General features: G+C 34.7%; 1 protein-coding gene and 1 long non-coding RNA gene across 23 annotated transcripts in view; one reads left to right on the forward strand and one right to left on the reverse strand.

Moving 5' to 3' along the window:
- KLHL5 (kelch like family member 5) overlaps positions 1 to 19583 on the forward strand; it is a 98275-nt gene that overhangs the window by 12061 nt on the left and 66631 nt on the right. For 8 of the 22 annotated variants that reach the window (XM_047415749.1, XM_047415750.1, XM_017008276.2 and 5 more), the window contains 2 exon segments: positions 5672 to 6148; positions 19078 to 19260. In XM_047415749.1, the coding sequence (XP_047271705.1) occupies positions 5672 to 6148; positions 19078 to 19260 (660 nt within the window). 22 annotated transcript variants of the gene reach the window in all.
- The window catches only part of LOC105374418 (uncharacterized), a 32695-nt gene continuing 25293 nt past the window's right edge, over positions 12182 to 19583 (reverse strand). Inside the window, exon 3 of the long non-coding RNA XR_925235.4 lies at positions 12182 to 12247. This is a non-coding gene — a long non-coding RNA (uncharacterized LOC105374418). The remainder of the gene's footprint in view (positions 12248 to 19583) is intronic.

A 19583-nucleotide genomic window follows, 5' to 3' on the forward strand; every position in this document is an offset into this window, starting at 1 on the left:
TAAAATCTTCAACTTCAACCGCCCTTTCAGATCTTGTTGCTTCCAGTCAAGTTTGAGCTGTGCCTCTCACATGGTAGAGTTTTCTAATTTGTTTCCTTATGAGGTATCTTCCCTTGTAAATCCATTTTTCACCATTGCCAAATTAATCTTAAGATATTATCTGTAAATCCTCACCTCAAAAACCTCAACTTCAACCAAATAAAGGACATACTTACCTCTTCTTAATTCAGTAAGAGTTTCATTCAAGACCCTCTGTTGCTGGATTTTAAAATCTTTCAAGTCAAGAGCTGTGCCATTAATTTATTCATTTTTTAAAATTTAAAGTCAGAAATTATTTAAATACCATGCACTGTACAGGTTGTTAGGGATATAGTGGTCCCTGTCCTAATTGATTTTTGTGGTCTATTTCCTTATCTTTGCATTCTGTTCTGCTTACAGAACAAAAGATTTGTTGCATTTACAGAAATACAGGATATTTTTTACATTTTTAATGTTTGCTTTTTATGAGAATGGAGAAGCAGTACAGAATATCTGGTATATTTCTAGAATTAAAGTCAAGGTTAGTAAAAATAGATCTCAAATCTTTTAGGGTAAATAACTGAAATTTTCCACCATCATACATTTTTAAGTGTTAGGGAATTTACATGTTGGTAGAATTATACTAATATTCAAATATTTTAAATCAAATTCTGATAGACCTAATTTGACAAAGTTTAAAAAGTATCCCTGAATTATTAAACTTTGGAGGGTGCTTCAAAATCATGCAATGCAACTTACTCTTTTTATAACTGAGGAAAAACAGAGAGGTGAGAGCTGCTGGGTTAGTATGGTAAAATTCTTGATTTTTTTAATGCAGTGCATATCACACACTTAAAACTTTAGAAATAGATTTATTAAAATTGATGAGCCATAAATACTGTTATCTAAAAAACTCTATGTGAAGAGAGATTGATGTAATTATGATTACTAATATAAACTAGTTACCAAATAGCCATGATTTAAGTTGAGTGAAGACATAGCTTTAAAAGCCACACTGTTGAAGTGAGCTCACCTTCAGTCTATCTTAATGACATTTCAGTGTTTCTATTGTAATACTGAATAGTGTCATCTTTTAAATTCACAGACAAGATTTGAGCGGTTTTGAAACAGAAGTTGCACATGGGTCCTTTAATTACATTTTGAAAAATGTATTCATAATTGACACATATTATCTATTTTAAATAATACGTGAGCTTTTGTATCTCAAGTTTAACCTGAAATAAAGCAAGGTTATAAAATTAGAGGTATAGAATATAATTTTGTAATTAGTTTGAAGAAAGTGTGTCCATTTGAAAAGACATCTGTTTAGCCATTGGATTTCAAGTGATAGAATTTTATGCCTTAAGAATGAATAGAAAAAAGAAATTCTTAGAATAACATTGTGATTTTTCTCCTAAGTTGAAAAAATACCGTACGATTTTGTCAGCCAGGCAGCGTGGCTGTAATCCTTGGACTTTAGGGGGCCATGGCGGGTGGATCACTTGAGCTCAGGAATTCGAGACCAGCCTGGGCAACATGGCAAAACCCTGGCTCTACAAAAATTAGCCAGATGTGATGGTGCGTGCCTGTAGTCCCAGTTACCTGGGAGGCTGAGATGGAAGGACCCCCTGAGCTCGGGAGGTTGTGGATGCAGTGAGCTGAGATCGAGCTACTGCACTCTAGCCTGTGTGACAGAGTGATACCCTGTCTCAAAAAATATATATATATTTTGTCACCAAGGTAAATGTGTCTGTAATTTTAAAATTAGATTCTTTATTTTATAATTTAAAAAATAGTATAAGTATATACTTTTATTATTGCTCTTATAATTGTTGGATTTTATTATAGCTCTTATAATTGTTGAATAATTTATGTATTCATTAGAGAAATATTTATTGAGCACCTACTGTCTCCTAGGTACTATTCTAAGTGCTGGGATTACAGTGATAACCAAAACAAAGCCCCACTTAAGCTTACTTTGTAGTGAGGATAAAGACAATAAGCAAATAAACATCTAATATGCCAAGTGGTGGTAACTGCTATGAAAAAAATTAGGAGGGTCAGCGGGCTTGTGAATGATGAGTCTAATTTACAGAGAGTAGTCAGTGAAGACCATTTTGATAATTTAATAATGTAATGATTTTTAATACGTATTGATCGTTTATAAATAATTTTCCTGGGAAATACTTGGCATCAGAGCTGGACAAATTTTGGGGCAAAACAATTTTATATTGTTGGTGAAAGTTGTCGGAACAGAAAAAAAAGTGTTATTTAAGTGAATGCTGAATTTCATGCCATAAAGGCATTAATGTTTAAGCTTACTTCATATTTTTATAAAGAAAATATCAGAAATATAAGAACTACAGATCAAGAAGATAAAGACTGATAACTTAATAGAAAAAAAAAGGGGCCTAAATAGCCACTTCATGGAGGATATCCAAATAACCAATAAACATGAAGAGTTATTCAGCCACATTAATAATGAAGAAAATGTAAAGGAAAACCAAATGGGATACCATTACACACCTGTCAGAATGACCAAAATTAAAAAGAGAATATGGCCAAGCACGGTGGCTCACGCCTGTAATCTCAGCATTTTGGGAGGCCGAGGTGGGCCGCTCACTTGAGATCAGGAGTTTGAGACTAGCCTGGCCAATATGGTGAAACCCCATCTCTACTAAAAAAAACAAAAATTAGCCAGGCTTGGTGGTGCACGCATGTAATCCCAGCTACTCAGGAGGCTCAGGCAGGAGAATTGCTTGAACCTGGGAGACGGAGGTTGCAGTGAGCCGGGATCACGCCACTGCACTCCAGAAACCCTGTCTCTAGTAAAAACATAAAAAATTAGCTGGACATGGTGGTGTGTGCCTGTAGTCCCAACTACTCAGGAGGCTGAGGCATAAGAATTGCGTGAACCCAGGAGATGGAGCCTGTAGTGAGCCAAGATCACACCACTGTACTCTTGCCTGGGTGACAGAGTTAGATTCTGTCTTAAAATAAAACAAAATAAAATGCACATACCTTCAACCCAGCAAGTCCACTCCTGGCAATAAATTCTGTAGATATAAAAGCCTCACAAGGATGTTTCTTTCAACATTATTTTAATGGCAAAAACCCAAAAACCTGAAATCAACCTGAATGCCCATTAGCAGGGAGATAGTTTAATAAATTGGTTTTTTTACAGTAATGAAATATCATGTAACTCTTAAAAAGATTATTAATTTATATTTCCATGTATATATAAAATTAGGTGAGAAGAGCAAAATGCTAAAAGATGAATACAATATGATCTCTTGTATAACAATAGCAAATCTCTTATATATGTGTATATAAGTTTGTCCATGATTTATAAACATGGAGAGAGGTGTGAAAGGCTATATGTACCAAGCTTGGCGTCAGCAATGATTACCATGGGAATGAGTGGAGGAGGATTGGCAAAATAAAGGTATCATTTTTCATTGCCAGATGTTTGCTGTCTCTGGCCCCTGCACACTCAATGCCTATAGCACTCTGGTCATTCCAACAACTAAAAATCTACCACCACCACCACCACCACCACCTATTTTCCAGAAGCCTTTAGGAGCAGGTTGATGCTTCCCTTGTTGAGAACCAGCTACTTAGAGTAACTGAAGTGTTTACAAAGATGATAGTGCCTGAGCTAAATCTTGAAGGATGAAGTGTGTTTTTTAAACCAGAGTTTCTCTGGGAGGCAAACAGTGTTATAAAAGAGGGAACACCATAATGTAGACTGCCTTGACCAATGAAGTGGTGTGTCTATGTTGGAAAATGGTTAGAAATAAAGTTGGATAGCTAGAGTGAAGTTAGAAGGATGTTGATCAGAAGGAGTCTGACAAAGGTGAGAGGAGAGGGGAAAGTGTCATTTCACTCTCTAATGCGTCCTGCACAGTACTGCCAAGTTAATTTCCTAAAACATTGTCCTGTTCAACAGTCCATTCAATAATGTCTTTGCTGCTTGCTCAAGGCATTTTATCTCATCGTATTCATCTAACTTTATCTCTTACTACACCTTAAAATTAATTTGGTATGGCTGGCTGATCAAACTGATTATTTCCCACTTCTTCCTTGTAGATATGCCCACTTCATGCTTTTATTAGAATCTTTTTCTGTAGAAATCTATCATTCTACCTAAACAATGTTTTACTATTCTTAGCAGCCTTCTCCCTAATGAAACTGGCCCATACCACTCCATTGCCATCCTGATATCTCCTTTCTTTCTTACAGTTTGTATGGTTTTTCCCGTATTATTTAGCATGAAATCATACTTGGCTTTTTATGCTTCTCATTCTTGTTTCTCTGAATAATTTGTATTAAGATAGACACCTCACAATATTTTTGTAAGCCTCCAAAGTAGTTTTTGTTTTTGTTTTTTGGTCAGCTTAGATAGGCATTGCCTTTTGTATGGAATTAGTTGATAAAGGAGTAAATACTGAGCACCCTGAAAACTCAAATTCTGCATTGATAGATCACACTTTAATATTGCAGCATTTTAATGTTTCTTATTTTACCTTATCAAATATTTTGTATTTGGTTCAATAGCTAGATTTAATTATTTTGGGGGTTAGGAACCAAGATATATATATCTCTGTGTCCCTGACAATGCCTAGTAGATTGCATTGTTCACAATAACTACTCAGTATTTTTGAGTTTATTTGTATTTGCTTTATCAATTTGCCTTAACTGTAACCATGTTCAAACCATTGTTTGTTTTGCTAACAACAGAGGGCACCATTAGGGCACTTGTACACCCAATAGTCCTATCCCAGTCCCTGGTAGCTTTTTTGAGCCGCACTTTTCCTTTTCCTAAGTAATGTCATAGAAATTTGGATGTTACACTAACTGGCAGTGGCCCATTTCTACTTATAGAGAAATCCTGGCCTCAGTTTATTTGAAAAAGAGTATTTGTTACATTTTGATCCTTTGTAGTTTTCAAACTTTTTATTCTCCTCATTATTCTTTATCCAAGTGAAATCTTACCCAGGATCTTACTGTATTAATTAGATCCATTTGTTTTCTGAAGGGAGAAGATAGAGGTGAAGGCAATAGTCTGGAGCCCCACCTTTGTACTCCGCTTTCCTCCTCATTCCCCATCCAAAGAGCACACCTGGAAAATCACCATAACTCATCTAATTTTACAAATGCTTTTTTAAAAACTTGTTTTGTGGTATTTCACTTAGGGACTTAGTTTAGAAATAGAAACATTTTAGTTTTAAAGTGATTATTTTTAAGTACAAAGGGAAATGCTATAGAATACATTTATTGTTTCAGCAATGAAAGAGTTAATATACTAAGCAGCAGAGACTGAGATACTGCAACGGGGATAGTGTTTTCTGTCTCTGTCATTTGTGGTTTAAGAAAAAGGGGGTGGTGTTCTGCATTTGAAAGGACTTTAATGAATGCTGTCAGTGTTTGTGAGACCTAATGGTCAGTATGGGAAAGGAGAGCCGGGAAAGTGGTCTAGCTGCTTCAGGATAGGTGGATGAGAGTTTGCTCTGATTGAACGGAATGTTCCACCGTGTTTCATCTTTATTCATTATCCTTTGTTCTTTAAAATCTGATATATTGGCATAAAAGTAATTGTAGATATATATATGAATGTGATTTATTTTCCTTTACATATTTTTGTTGTGTACAGCAGGGCATATACTTCTCTTGTCTTGGTTGGATGCACAAATCTGTGTGCAGTGCTTTTTGCCCGTTGCCTAGACGATCACTTGGTTTCTCTGAGGATGTCTGGTTCTCGTAAAGAGTTTGATGTGAAACAGATTTTGAAAATCAGATGGAGGTGGTTTGGTCATCAAGCATCATCTCCTAATTCTACAGTTGACAGCCAGCAGGGAGAATTTTGGAACCGAGGACAGACTGGAGCAAACGGTGGGAGAAAGTTTTTAGATCCATGTAGCCTACAATTGCCTTTGGCTTCAATTGGTTACCGAAGGTCCAGCCAACTGGATTTTCAGAATTCACCTTCTTGGCCAATGGCATCCACCTCTGAAGTCCCTGCATTTGAGTTTACAGCAGAAGATTGTGGCGGTGCACATTGGCTGGATAGACCAGAAGTGGATGATGGCACTAGTGAAGAAGAAAATGAATCTGATTCCAGTTCATGCAGGTTGATTATTTTCTTACTGTTAGAAAAGGGGTGTGGGGGTATGGCTCTATAATGTTTTTAAATAATTTAGTATTTATTATTTAAAATCTGATTATATATGTACATCTGCATACATATATATAATATCTTGGTATGAACATGTGATACTTCTGCTAGGGTTTTTTTAATGTTCTAATAGTCTGTAAAATTACAAAGACAACAAATAGCATTCATTTTGAAATATCTTGTGTTCTATATATAGATCTGGCTCAGCTTTGAAAATAATATATAGTAGCAATTTCATGTATCATTGCCTGTGGTTTGCTTCATTCATTAACCTTCTATATTCATATCAAAACTATAGAAGATATTTCTATAGTATGAAATTTTATGTGACATTTTAGTTTATAACAGATGATAGAGTCATTTTTTAATTTAATGAAAAGGAAAGGTTTTGCAAAGAGATGCACATTATAGTCACCAATTTTTTGACACAATTGTAGTTGTCAATAATATTTTTCTTATGGTTATTTCTCTTTGTCCTGTCTGTGTTACAGCTCTCCAGACTAATATAGAGAATACTAAGTAACATGTCTCTAAGATGACAGCTACTAATTCCTGTTACCTTCACTTTCACTGAAATGTGTGCTATTTAGGGAAATGAAGGACATTCCTCCAGGAGAGTTTAAGGGAATGTAGAGGGGCTAGATGTGATTATCTGGTGAAAAGGGGACAGGAAGAAGGGGAAATCAGTTAGAAGAAAGAAAATAAGGAAAAAAATAGGTAATTTCATAGTGACTTTATCTACCTTTATCTTGGAATCTGCCTTTATCTTTGAAATGGATTTTCTTATTCATCAGTTTAAACTACAATAAGATTATATAACAACTTAGAGCATGAAAGTCATCTTTCTGATTAATCTTCATTCGAAAATATTTCTAAATATTTAAAGGCACAAATAGCTTATCATTTGTCTAATTTGATTATTATATTTTTCTCTTAAAATTTCTGTGCAGCTTTTGATAACACTTGTAATTTGTAAGTTGGTTATTAATGATGTAGGTGTCATATGGATTGAGACAAAATGAATTTATATATTTAAGTGTCTCTTACTTGAGGATATTTACCACCTTTTCCTCTTCTAACCTTAAGAATGTGGACTTGGAAGGATAAAAAATGTTTACTCTAGTCATCTGTCATCTTCTGTGTAATGGAGAGAGGGGAATATCTGTATGTAGGTAAATAGTGTATTTAATTTAAATTTTTTTTAATTAGTTCATGACTTGGCATTATCTTAAGGGAATAGAAGCCACTAATTTAATTTGGAGATCAATTGAGCTAATGTGGTTCATTGTTTGTATTTTCTTTGGAGACTTGTTGCCATAAAGAGAACAATTTATATAGTAAAAGATTCATCATTTTTGTGGAGAACCAAAGAGTAAATGTTTCATTTGAAAATCAATATATCAAGAATATTTTAACAAAATTAGAAAAAATAAAACATTCATTTACCAACATAAGTAAATTCACATATAAAACTCTTAACATGTTATCTACTACTGGAGAAATTATAATGTGAATATAAAATTTTTATACATGTGTAATCTTGGAAAAATTATACACACATTGGTTGCTATAATTCCTTACAACAAAGGTAGTTTGCATGGCTAATGATTACTGAAATAAAATTAAGCTATTCTTTAGTATGCATACAGAAATATCTTGGTGGGCTATTCATTATGAAATAAAAAGATTATCCTTTTTTGACTGAGAGATTGCTATGTGCATTCTTCAAGAATTTTAAATTGACGTTTTTCATTTATAGGAGATATAAAAATAAAATGGCATTTTTAAAAATCTAAAATAAATGAAGTTGTTTAAAAAATGCTACTCAAGAAGACTCATCAAAGTAAGACGGGTGTGGACAGTTTACATCTTCAGTGACCAAACTATTCCAAAAATAAAATTTCAAAAATAAAATGTACTGTGAGAAAATGTTTTTGATTTTTAGATATGAGGGGAAATATGTCAAAGGAATTTAATATTTTGGATGGTTTGAAATTTCAATCTTCTTATTGCAAATAAGAAAAAAACATTCAAGATTTTAGAAAAGTCCTTTGTGTGTATATTCTTTTTCTCTATTTTTTTCTAGATTAAATAGATCTAATTTTTACATCTTCCTTCAACACCCTGGCTGAGTCTTTGACCTTTGTCATAAAGATACATTTATTTGCCCTCAGCTTTTTGATTAAGTGAGCAGTCAGACTTCTCTAAGTAGTTGTTCACCTACTGTAAACAAATCAAAGCCTGTCACTGTTAATGTCACACTGACATTCATCAATTTTTTTTTTTTTTTTTTGAGACAGAGTCTCGCTCTGTTACCCAGGCTGGAGTGCAGTGGCGTGATCTCGGCTTACTGCAACCTCTGCCTCCCGTTCAAGCCATTCTCCTGCCTCAGCCTCCCAAGTATCTGGGACTACAGACATGTGCCACCACTCCCGGCTAATTTTTGTATTTTTAGTAGAGATGCTGTTTCACCATGTTGGCCAGGCTGGTCTTGAACTCCTGACCTCAAGTGATCCGCCCACGTCCGCCTCCCAAAGTGCTGGGATTACAGGCGTGAGCCACCACACCTGGCCTCATCAATTTTTTAAATATAACTTTGGAACAATTCTTTTTCTTATATAATATTTTGCAAATAATATATAGTAAATATATAGTAAACATTCTGAGCATACTACAGATTGATATCTTAAAATGTTAGACATAATGAAGAAATGCATATGATATACTAATTACTCGTTTTAACCGTCATAATATTTACATGGATTTCAGAACTTAAACTGAAATTTTGAGTTATTAGAAAAAGGGGAAGACAGCTAAGTGGTCTTACATACTCAGAATCTCATTAACCATGGTGGATCTGGACAGTTTAAAGCAGGAATTAAGGGACAGCGTATGTTGGTCATGTTTTATCAATTGTATTCTAACAAGGAAAAATGTCTGTCTGAGTCTTAGACTTCTGGTAATTTCTACTGCCATCCACCTAAGTGATTTAAAAGTTTCTTGTCTTTTAACTTTGACTTTGCCTCTGTAGCCTAGCTACCTTTTCTCCATGACAGTCATCTAAGTCATTACTTTGCTATTAAAATACAAACTTAGTCTTCTTATAACATGAGGAATTTTAGACCTTAAGTAACAGAGCTGTCACCTTTTATGTGAGCAATAGGATCCTAAGTCCTTAATTGAGGAGGAATTCATACCAGGGCTAGCAAAATCTATATGGCGGCCCACCATGTAACCATAGTATAAACATGATTTATACTTCCCTTGATTTACTGACCTTGAAATTATGTAATTTTTGACATATTTTCAATTGGAGGAATTTTATTTCAAATTTCATTTATAAAGTTAGAGTTTAATATCAGGCTGTTTTTTACTCCTTTTGCATACAATTTTACTGCACTTTACAAGTACAGATGCCTCCTGACATAAAATTTTTCAACTTTACGATGATGGAAAAGCAACATGCATTCAGTACATTCCTCAACTTACAATGGGGTATGTCCCAATAAACCCACAATATGTTGAAAAAATATCCTAAGTTGAAAGCGCATTTTCTATTTTTGATGGGTTTATCCAGACACAACACCATCATAAGTTAAGGAGCATCTGTGTTAAAAAATAATCATTGCTGATACTAAGCAGTGCTTCCTAACTGTGAGGCACTGTTCTAAGCACTTTACTATATTAACTCATTTAGTCTTCACAACAAATTCTTGAGTTAGGTTGCTGCTATTATCAACCTAATTCTAATTTTATAGATGAGTCAAGTGAGACACAGAAAAGCTAACTTGCTCAAGGTTAGTAAGTAAAATAGCTGCATTTTTTAAAAAGAAACTTTATTTTTTTAGAACCATTTTACATTTACAGGAAAATTACAAAGATGATACACTAAGTTCCTATATACCCCATACCCAGGTTCCCCTGTTATTTATATCTCACATTAATATGGTGCATGGGTTATAGTAATGAACCAGTGGTGATACATTATTATTAACTAAAGTCCATACTTTATTCACATTTCTTTAGTTTCTTACCTAATGCCCTTTTTCTGTTCGAGGATCCTATCCAAGATATCGCATTACATTAAATCATTATGTCTCCTTAGCCTCCTCTTGGCTGTGACAGTTTCCTAGATTTTACTTGCTTTTGATGACCTTGGCAGTTTTGGGAGTACTAATCAGGTGTTTTGTAGAATGCCTTACTCAGTTGAGATTTGTTTTCCCATAATTAGACTGAGGTTATGGGCTTTGGGGAGGAATATCACAGAGATAAAGTGCCATTTTTTTCACATCATATCAAAGATACACACCATTAATCTGTCTTACCACTGTTGGTAGTGACCTTGATCACTTGGAAATGGTTGCATTTTTGAACTCAAATTAAGTTGTAGATTTCATGCTCTTAACAAACACTGTACTATTAATATATTGCCTATATACTTGTGACTAATCACAGAGTTCAGCTGTAGCATATAGCTAATTATTCATTCTAACTAGTTTCACCTTCTTTCTTCAGTTAATTCTCTTCTCTTAGTTCTTGAGAATGCCAAGCTTGGCTACATTACAAGTATAATCTCTTGACTCACCCATAACTCTTTTTTTTTTTTTTTTAGTGAGACAAAGTCTCACTCTGTCACCCAGGCTAGACTGGAATGCAGTGGCGGGATCTTGGGTCACTGCAGTCTTTGCCTCCTGGGTTCAAGCGATTCTCCTGCCTCAGCCCCCAGAGTAGCTGGGATTACAAGCACGTACCACCATGCCTAGCTAATTTTTCTGTATTTTTAGTAGAGATGGGGTTTCACCGCGTTGGCCAGGCTGGTCTCAAACTCCTGAGCTCAAGTGATCTGTCCACCTCGGCCTCCCAAAGTGCTAGGATTACAAGCATGAGCCACCACACCTGGCCCCATAACTCCTTATCCACAGTCTTCTACCCCATCTTACTGGTTGCTTGCCTCTCTGTCTTTCCACTGCAGATAGCCCAAACTCTTATTTTTTGGTCAGTTGATTTGCTACTCTTCAACTCATCCTGAAGGCATAGGTCCTCCTCCCCTCCCAACAAGAGGTTATCTGCATAATATCACCACTCCTCATGGGCATTCTCCTTTTTCTTGACCTTCTTTATGTTGTCTCTGCATCTTATTATTTGATCTAGTCTATTAATTCTGGTTCAGTTTTAAATTAAATTCCTCTAATGAAAAAAAAAATGTGTTTCCAGGGATAGCAGAAGAAGTTTATAATGAACTTGTATCTGGAAAGGATAATATTGCATTGTCTCCCCTCTCACATATATGCCCACATCTTATCATGGACTCCATTGAGAATGTGACATAAGCTATGTAACCTCTCCCCAGAAAACACTGTGTGTGTGTGTGTGTGTGTGTGTGTGAAATATTTCATATAGGGTTCAAGGAGTTCATGAACCCTCTGAAGGCTATCTGTATGCTGCATCCATCAAAGTTCTTAGTTTTAAGCAACTGAAGTTGACTGGATGATTTAAACAGAAATAGGAAGTTATTGAATCATAATAGTTCCCAGAACTGCTGGGAAGGCTGAAGAATTGGCATACGAAAAGGATAGGTCCTACAGTTACACAGTTGACCTTTTAAACTCCAAATTGTTTAAGCAGAAAACCTGTCTTTATGCCATTTATTGCTCACATTTTATTTTACCTGTGTTTCACTTGGAACTAGAGAGTGAAGTTTTAAGTGTTTAGAATCAGATATATTAGGCATGAAAACAATGGTATGTACATACACACACCTCATAGTTAACTACGTAACTACATAACTTGCTCATTTAACTTTAGGAAGTATATTAGTAAGGCATAGGCTAAAATGATATAACAAAGAGATTCAGAAACACAGTGGCTTAAATTAGATGGAAGTTTGTTTTTCTATCACCTCATAGGTGGGCAAGTGGCCCAGGGCGGATAGGTAGCTCTGCTTCACAAGTTCATTCAGAGACCCAGGTTCCTGTTATATTGTTTCTCCTTCCTGTAGGATATTATCTTTTCTCCATGATTGAAGCTTACTCAGCTGTCCCTCAGCATGCCAACCTGTAGGAAGGACCGAAGAGAGGAAGAGAAAACATTAAGCAAGCGACACAAGTTGCACATATCAGTTCTGCACATATTCATTGGTCACATGGCCACAACTGGTTACAAAGGAGGCTCAGAAATACAGTCTTACCCTAGGTAGCCATGTCTCCAGCTAAAAGTCATTTACTGTGGTAGATATAAAGAATGGATCTTGGGTTATAATCAACAGAGTGCAGGAAGTGAAGATGGCTGAATAGAACTCTTCAGAGTTCTTTGGATCTAATTTTTAAGTGAATTTTTCCCTATTAACATTTTATATATATATATATATATATATATATATATATATATATATATACACACACACACACACACACACACACACATACATATTTATACTATTTTTATACTTTTTTACCATATATATATATATATATATATATATATATATAAACCATAGAGCCATCAGAAAATAGAGATAAGTAAAAATGAAAAAAGTAAAAATCATCAACTACCTAGCCACCTCAAAATACCAACTGTTAATTTGGGGAAGTGTCCTTCTGGTATATTTTCTATACGTGTATAATGTGTTTTTAAAATAAAAATCTCAATCTTATTGTACATATTGTTTTGTAGCCTGCTTTTTTTTGCCCTAATGTAAGTTTTTAAATTAGGACTCGTGGTTGAAAATGACAGAAGCCCAAATCAAACTGACTTAAACAAAAACTAGAAATTTTCGGTTCACATAAATAAAAAGTCCAAGGATAGAGTCTAGCTTTAGACATAGCTGGATCCAAATGATCAAATAACACCAATAATCTGTTTTTCTCCATTTCTAAATTCTGTTTTCCTTTGTGATGGCATTATCTCAGGTAGTCTCTCAGTGCAGTAGCGGAAAGGCCATTAACAGCTCCAAGTTTACTTTTTGTCAGCTTAGCAAGCTCAATGGAAAGAAAGTGACACTTTTCCAAGAGTGTGATCAAACATCATGAAATTGACTCTGATTGGTCTTGTTTGGGTCCTGTGCCCACGTGAACCAACTGTTATTGCCAGGAGCTACAATACTCTTATTGGCCAGGCCTCATTGGCTTCTACACCTCTGACCATTCCCTGTAGACTAAGGCAGGGAATGTGTGGTTTCCCAAAAAGTAGAGGTGGGTTTTATTACCGTAAGAAGGAATGCTGGATAGGAAAAAACAATGTCCACTACACAGTTCTCCAGGCCATTAAATATTCTATATCTTTTCAAATGGCTCCATCATTCTTCCATGTATGGATTGTCTTTTTGTTTATTTGACCAGTATTCTATTTTTTTGAATGTAGATTGTTTCCGGTATTTCTCTATTAGAAACAACCTGTGATAAACCCTGTAGCTAGATCTCTGTACCTATTGATGATTCTTTCCTTTGGACAAAATCCCAAGGGGTTTTCACATTTGAGGGGTTTTGATTTGTATTTTCAAAGTCATTTCAGGAACATTTCTATTTTAATTCTCACCAGCATTGTATAAAAATGTCCATTTGCCCTTCCCCTTCATACTGGTTATTATTTAAGAAAATTGGATTCTTATAAACAGCATTTAACTCTCTTCACCACAGATATTCTGGCACTATCCCAGGGGAAAAACGCCCTATAAATTTCCAAATCAAAATATATTTCTCTTGAGGAGGGAAAGGGTGAAGACATCCATTTTCCTTAGCTCTTATTATTTCTCTTTACACAATTGCCTTGTCTCCTCTTCTTCCTCACCCATATAAATGTCAAGACATTTCAATTCTCACCTACTGCTTGTTGACTTTTTAAACACTAGCCCATACTGATCTTCCCCTTTTCTGTATTCCAGTAGCAATTATACTCCAATTAAAGATGCACAAGGTGATCAATTGGAGTAATGGTTAAAAATATATATAAAAGCTTCTATTTATATTTTATCTTTTAAATTTCTGTTTTTGTCTGTATATTATATAGAAATTGTACAATGGTGTCTATATCTTTTATAAATTAGTAAATTTGGGCACATGCTTAAAAGTATACTGAAAAGGATATGTATCAAATTTAGAGACTGCTAGCCTATACCTAGCAACTTGTAGTTTTGAATATTTGTAGAAGATGACAAAAGATTCATAATATAGTAAGCACACTTCTGCAAAAACATGAATTCTGAATGCCACAAACTAGGAGTAAATCACTTACCTAGAGAGTGAGCCAGACTATTTAGAGTTTCGGAAGAGCTTTTTTTCCTACTCATAGACAGTATAACTTTTATAAATTAATTTGTAAAACTTCTTTTGAAAAATTACTCCATTAAGAAATTCTAGTGTAAATTCTGGCGATAAAAGTAAAGGGATCTAAATAGTTTACAATAAAAAGGTGTATTGGCCATGGTGTGTATTGTGTGAGCACATGTACATGTAAGCACATTTAAAATCTGGGGAATTACAAGGGTTAGAGTTGCTATTTCACTTTTTCCAGATATGGAGCTTGACTCTTCAAATTCCAAATCCCTTCACTAGGGAATAATATATTTCTTAGCATTTCCCCAGTTTCTAACTGGTGCAGTGCTGCAACATTAATAGTTGCTCTGTGAATAGTTGGTGACTTGTTTCTATTTGATACTTGCCTCTTTTCTATGTTTAGGCATTTTTCTGACTTTAAAATTCATTGCCTACTGCAGAGAGAGACATAAGCTACAAATTAAATGTTTCCCTGTAGACTAGAAATATTCAGCAATGTATTCATTACAGTGAAAGTCTAATATAAAAGATTTGAATGATCTTATGTAATTTTCTGAAATATGATTTAGTGGTATCATATAAGCAAAACTAAGCAGAGATGTTAGATGTATTTCCTCTGTTGTTATGTAAAAGATCAAGTAGAAATCAGAGAGAAATATATTTTAAATGCTTCAGGAATGGCCTATTCCCAGATATTTGTGTTGTGGGTTAGGATGTCTACTGAGTTTACTAAAAGCCATTTTAAATAAGAAGTATGAAATTTAGTTATAAAAAATGATGATGCCAGGGATCATTTTTTAAAAAAGACAACCATCCAAACAACATTATATAAAGACAAAAGACTGTAATTACAGGCCTTCCCATTGGCCACTGAAAAGCAGGGTTCTACTAACAATAGCTTTCCTTGATTGTGTACTAATCTGCACTAGGGCTGTGCATGCATTAGATCGTTTAATAATCTTCTCTTGAGGGATCCCCTAAAAGACAGCACTATGTATTATTTCTGTTTTGCTGTTAAAGAAAGTAAGCCTTAGAGAAGTTAAATAACTTGTCCAGAATTATACATAGTGAGTGACAGAGTGAGAGTTGAACCGAGGTCTATAGGACTCTAGACCAGCACTGCACAATGGAACTTTCAGCATTGATGGAAATGTTCCATATCTGTACTGTCCAATTTGGTAGCCACTAGCCCCAAGAGAATACTGAACACTTGAAATACGACTAGTGCAACTAAAGAACTGAATTTAAAATTTTTATTTAAATTAAAATAGCCTCATGGGGCTAGTGGCTACTGTATTGGACAGCACAGCTCTAGAAACTTCCTAAAATGTGCTTCATCGCTCACCAATACCTCCTTAATTCTCTTTTCCTATTATATGCTAAACAAAAGATATAATAGGAACAAAAAGAGTAAGGAAGTCTTACCAGAGGTGCTTACCAGAGGCTGAGGATGGGGAGTGCCAAAGAGAGACTTGGGTCAGTGTGCACAAAGTTACAATTAGGAGGAACAAGTTCTCGTGTGCCATTGCACAGGAAGGTGACTATGGTTAATAGCTAAAAGAGAGGGCTTTAAATAGCTAAAAGAGAGGGCTCTAAATGTTTTTCACCACAAAGAATTGATAAATATTAGAGTTAATGAATTTGTTAATTAGCCTGATTTGAGCAGTTCACTACATATACATGTATCAAAACATCACATTATACCCTATAAATATATATAATTGTTATTTGTCAATAATATTTAAAAAATTATTTTTAAAATATGGTGTTCAAATCTCGCCTCCGACCTATTGAATCAGTCTCAGGGTATGAGGCCTTGAACACTGCGACTGAAATGCTCCCTGGGTTGTCCTGACTTGTTTCAGCATCTGAACCAAAATACCCTGAAAGTTCTTGACAAGAAAATTATTAACTGGGCATATGCCAACATCAGAAGTAGCCTATAATAACAGTGATGATAGTATTACAAAGTTCTGTTGTTCTTTCAGAACTTAACATTGATTAGCATCTGTGTTAGATGATGGCAGTTCATCACTCAAACATTCAACTAATTTATTTGTTTAATCATCACTTGTAGTTTGATATGAAGTACAAGAAATGTGATACAAAATATAGGAGTCTTAAGAAAGACGTACTTGATTTATTTACTTGTTCTTGAATTTATGGCTTATAAAAATTAGATATTATAATTTTTCCCCTCAGGTCACTAATGCTCTTATAATCATTTGTCAATATTTTAACAGTATAAAACTTTATCAAAAAATATTTTAAATCTTCAAGTTATTATTATTTTTATTTATTTATTTATTTTTGAGATGGAGTCTCACTCTGTCGCCCAGGCTGGAGTACAGTGGTGTGATCTCAGCTCACCGTAACCTCTGCCTCCTTGGTTCAAACGATTCTCCTGCCTCAGCCTCCCAAGTAGCTGGGACTACAGGCGTGTGCCACCACGCCCAGCTAATTTTTTTTTTATTTTTATTTTTTTTTTTGTATTTTTAGTAGAGACGGGGTTTCACCATATTAGCCAGGATGGACTCAATCTCCTGACCTCATGATCTACCCTCCTCGGCCTCCCGAAGTGCTGGGATTATAGTACCTGCGAAATCTTCAAATTATTATTCATCAAAACCACCATTATTTTTTTGCTTATGTTATCCTGTCTCCTAAATTTTAAAATAGTTTCTAATTCTCATTTATTTGTATAAGCATATATAATTACATACTATTCAACCCATTTTTATAATAATGATCTTAAATGTGAAGTTGAGTATTACTTGACTTGGATTTTCCAAGTCATTACACCAGTAATATTCATAGTGTACAACACATCCTTTCTAGATAATATACATTTGACTTCTGTTGTCATTATTGACAATTATCCTCCAAGGGCATTTATCTGATGCCCATGTTTGTATGGTACTGAAAATACATTGGACTAGGAGGATTTAGGAAGGAATATTTATCAGTTAAGGCACTGTTAACTTCTAAAACAGATAAATCTTAGTTCAATGTGAGTGTTCTTGCTTGAGTTATCTTTTATGTATTTTACTTCTTCCTTTTTCTAAGTCTTCAATCCTCTCCCTTCAACCCGTGTATAGAGAAAGAAAATATGGAAAAGCCATACCTGTTCTTAGCCACTTTAAGGTGAACTGTGTGATGTAATAGTTCATTTCCATAAGAACACATCTATTTGCAAGAGAGGCTGGGAAATATAGTCTAGCTATATTCTCAGGCGGAAAAAAGAATATTTTGGTGAACACATAGCAGTTTCTGTGATAGCCCTATCTCTGCCATGAATGAACTCTGACTCTTGGCAAGGCACTTAATCTCCTTAGCTTAAGTTCCTTTACTTTAAAAGTAAGAAATATGGTGACTTTTTTCTTTTTTGATAAGGTTATTATATTAACAAGATTCTCTTAAGATATAGTGGGGCTTGATTCAACAAAGCATATGTCACAACCATCATATCCTTAAAAGAAGATCTGATGAGAAATGAGAACTAAGTTATGGCACAGTCACTGGTTTTATAGTTAATTGCATAACCAACCGACTTTGATTACTTGATTTAAGTGATCCTGGAGAGGAGAACTGGGTGTGAGGGTGAGGAGGAAAGAACTGGACTCAGGACTTCATTCTTAGTCCTAACCTTTTCACTTTTTCACAGTTTTTATCAGTAAATCATATGAAAACAGAACATACAGGTGGGTGCGGTGGCTCACACCTGTAACCCTAGCACTTTGGGAGGCTGAGGTGGGCAGATCTCCTGAGGTCAGGAGTTCGAGACCAGCCTGACCAACATAGAGAAACCCCATCTCTACTAAAAATACAAAAGTAGCTGGGCGTGGTGGTGCAAGCCTGTAATCTCAGCTACTTAGGAGGCTGAGGCAGGACAATTGTTTGAACTCAGTAGGCGGAGGTTGTGGTGAGACGAGATCGCGCCATTGCACTCCAGCCTGGGCAACAAGAGCGAAATTCCGTCTCAAACAAAAAAAAAAAAAAGAAAGAAATCAGAATGCCTACTCTTCAAATTATAATTTAGAAATTTCAAATAATTTTTTAGACAGCTGTATTAGGCTATCAAATTCCTTTAACCTGTAATATAAGTTATAGATTACCTGGGCTTTTGAGGACTGGACAGAGAACCAAAATAATTATTTATAACACTGTTTTTATGACAATATATTTTTTAATGAACTTGACTTGAATTTGTATTTCCAAAATAATTTAATTGCCTTTCTGCCTTCAAAGATGAATGATCTCTTATATCCTTAAATATAACGTTAGGAGATGTGGTTATCAATATGAATATAGCTTAGCTCTTTTTCAGCAGAGACATTGGCTTTAACAGAGAAAAGACCTCACAAAAAGATACTACAAAGAATATATGTAGCAATTAATTAACAGTTTATATTCACTTACAGTGTTTACAAGAATCATATGACTTAAGGCATCATTGATTTTTAAGAGACTAAAATGATGAATGATTATACATTAATATTGATAGGTAGCATTGATTTCTTCTATTACATTTGAAGGCTTTCAAAAGACTTAATAGGAAAGATCTTTTTAATGTGATAGTGATATTTCAAAATGTGTGTTTTTTTTTCTTTTCAGGACTTCCAATAGTAGTCAGACATTATCATCCTGTCATACTATGGAGCCATGTACATCAGATGAATTTTTCCAAGCCCTTAATCATGCCGAGCAAACATTTAAAAAAATGGAAAACTATTTGAGACATAAACAGTTGTGTGATGTAATTTTAGTCGCTGGTGATCGCAGAATTCCAGCTCACAGGTAGTTGTTTTCTATATTTCTGTATGTGTGAAATATTTCCTCGGTAATTTAGATATGTATATTGAGGTAACCTACTTCAATTGACTATTATGTTTTTGGGAAGGGGTGTAGTTCATGGAATTTCCATCAAGAAAACGGTGCATATGAAATTATTACACATTTGGTGATCCTAAAAGGGTCATTTTCCTGCTGTAGAAGCACAATAACAAAACATACTAGCCTCATATAAGTTGGTATTGTTCGGTGTAGATTGCAGCTACTATAAGAAGCTTTTATGCCATATTCTACCTATTAAATACTTTAAGTAAACTCAGTGGCAATTA

Source organism: Homo sapiens, chromosome 4 (assembly GCF_000001405.40).
Source record: "Homo sapiens chromosome 4, GRCh38.p14 Primary Assembly".
Taxonomy (NCBI): domain Eukaryota; kingdom Metazoa; phylum Chordata; class Mammalia; order Primates; family Hominidae; genus Homo; species Homo sapiens.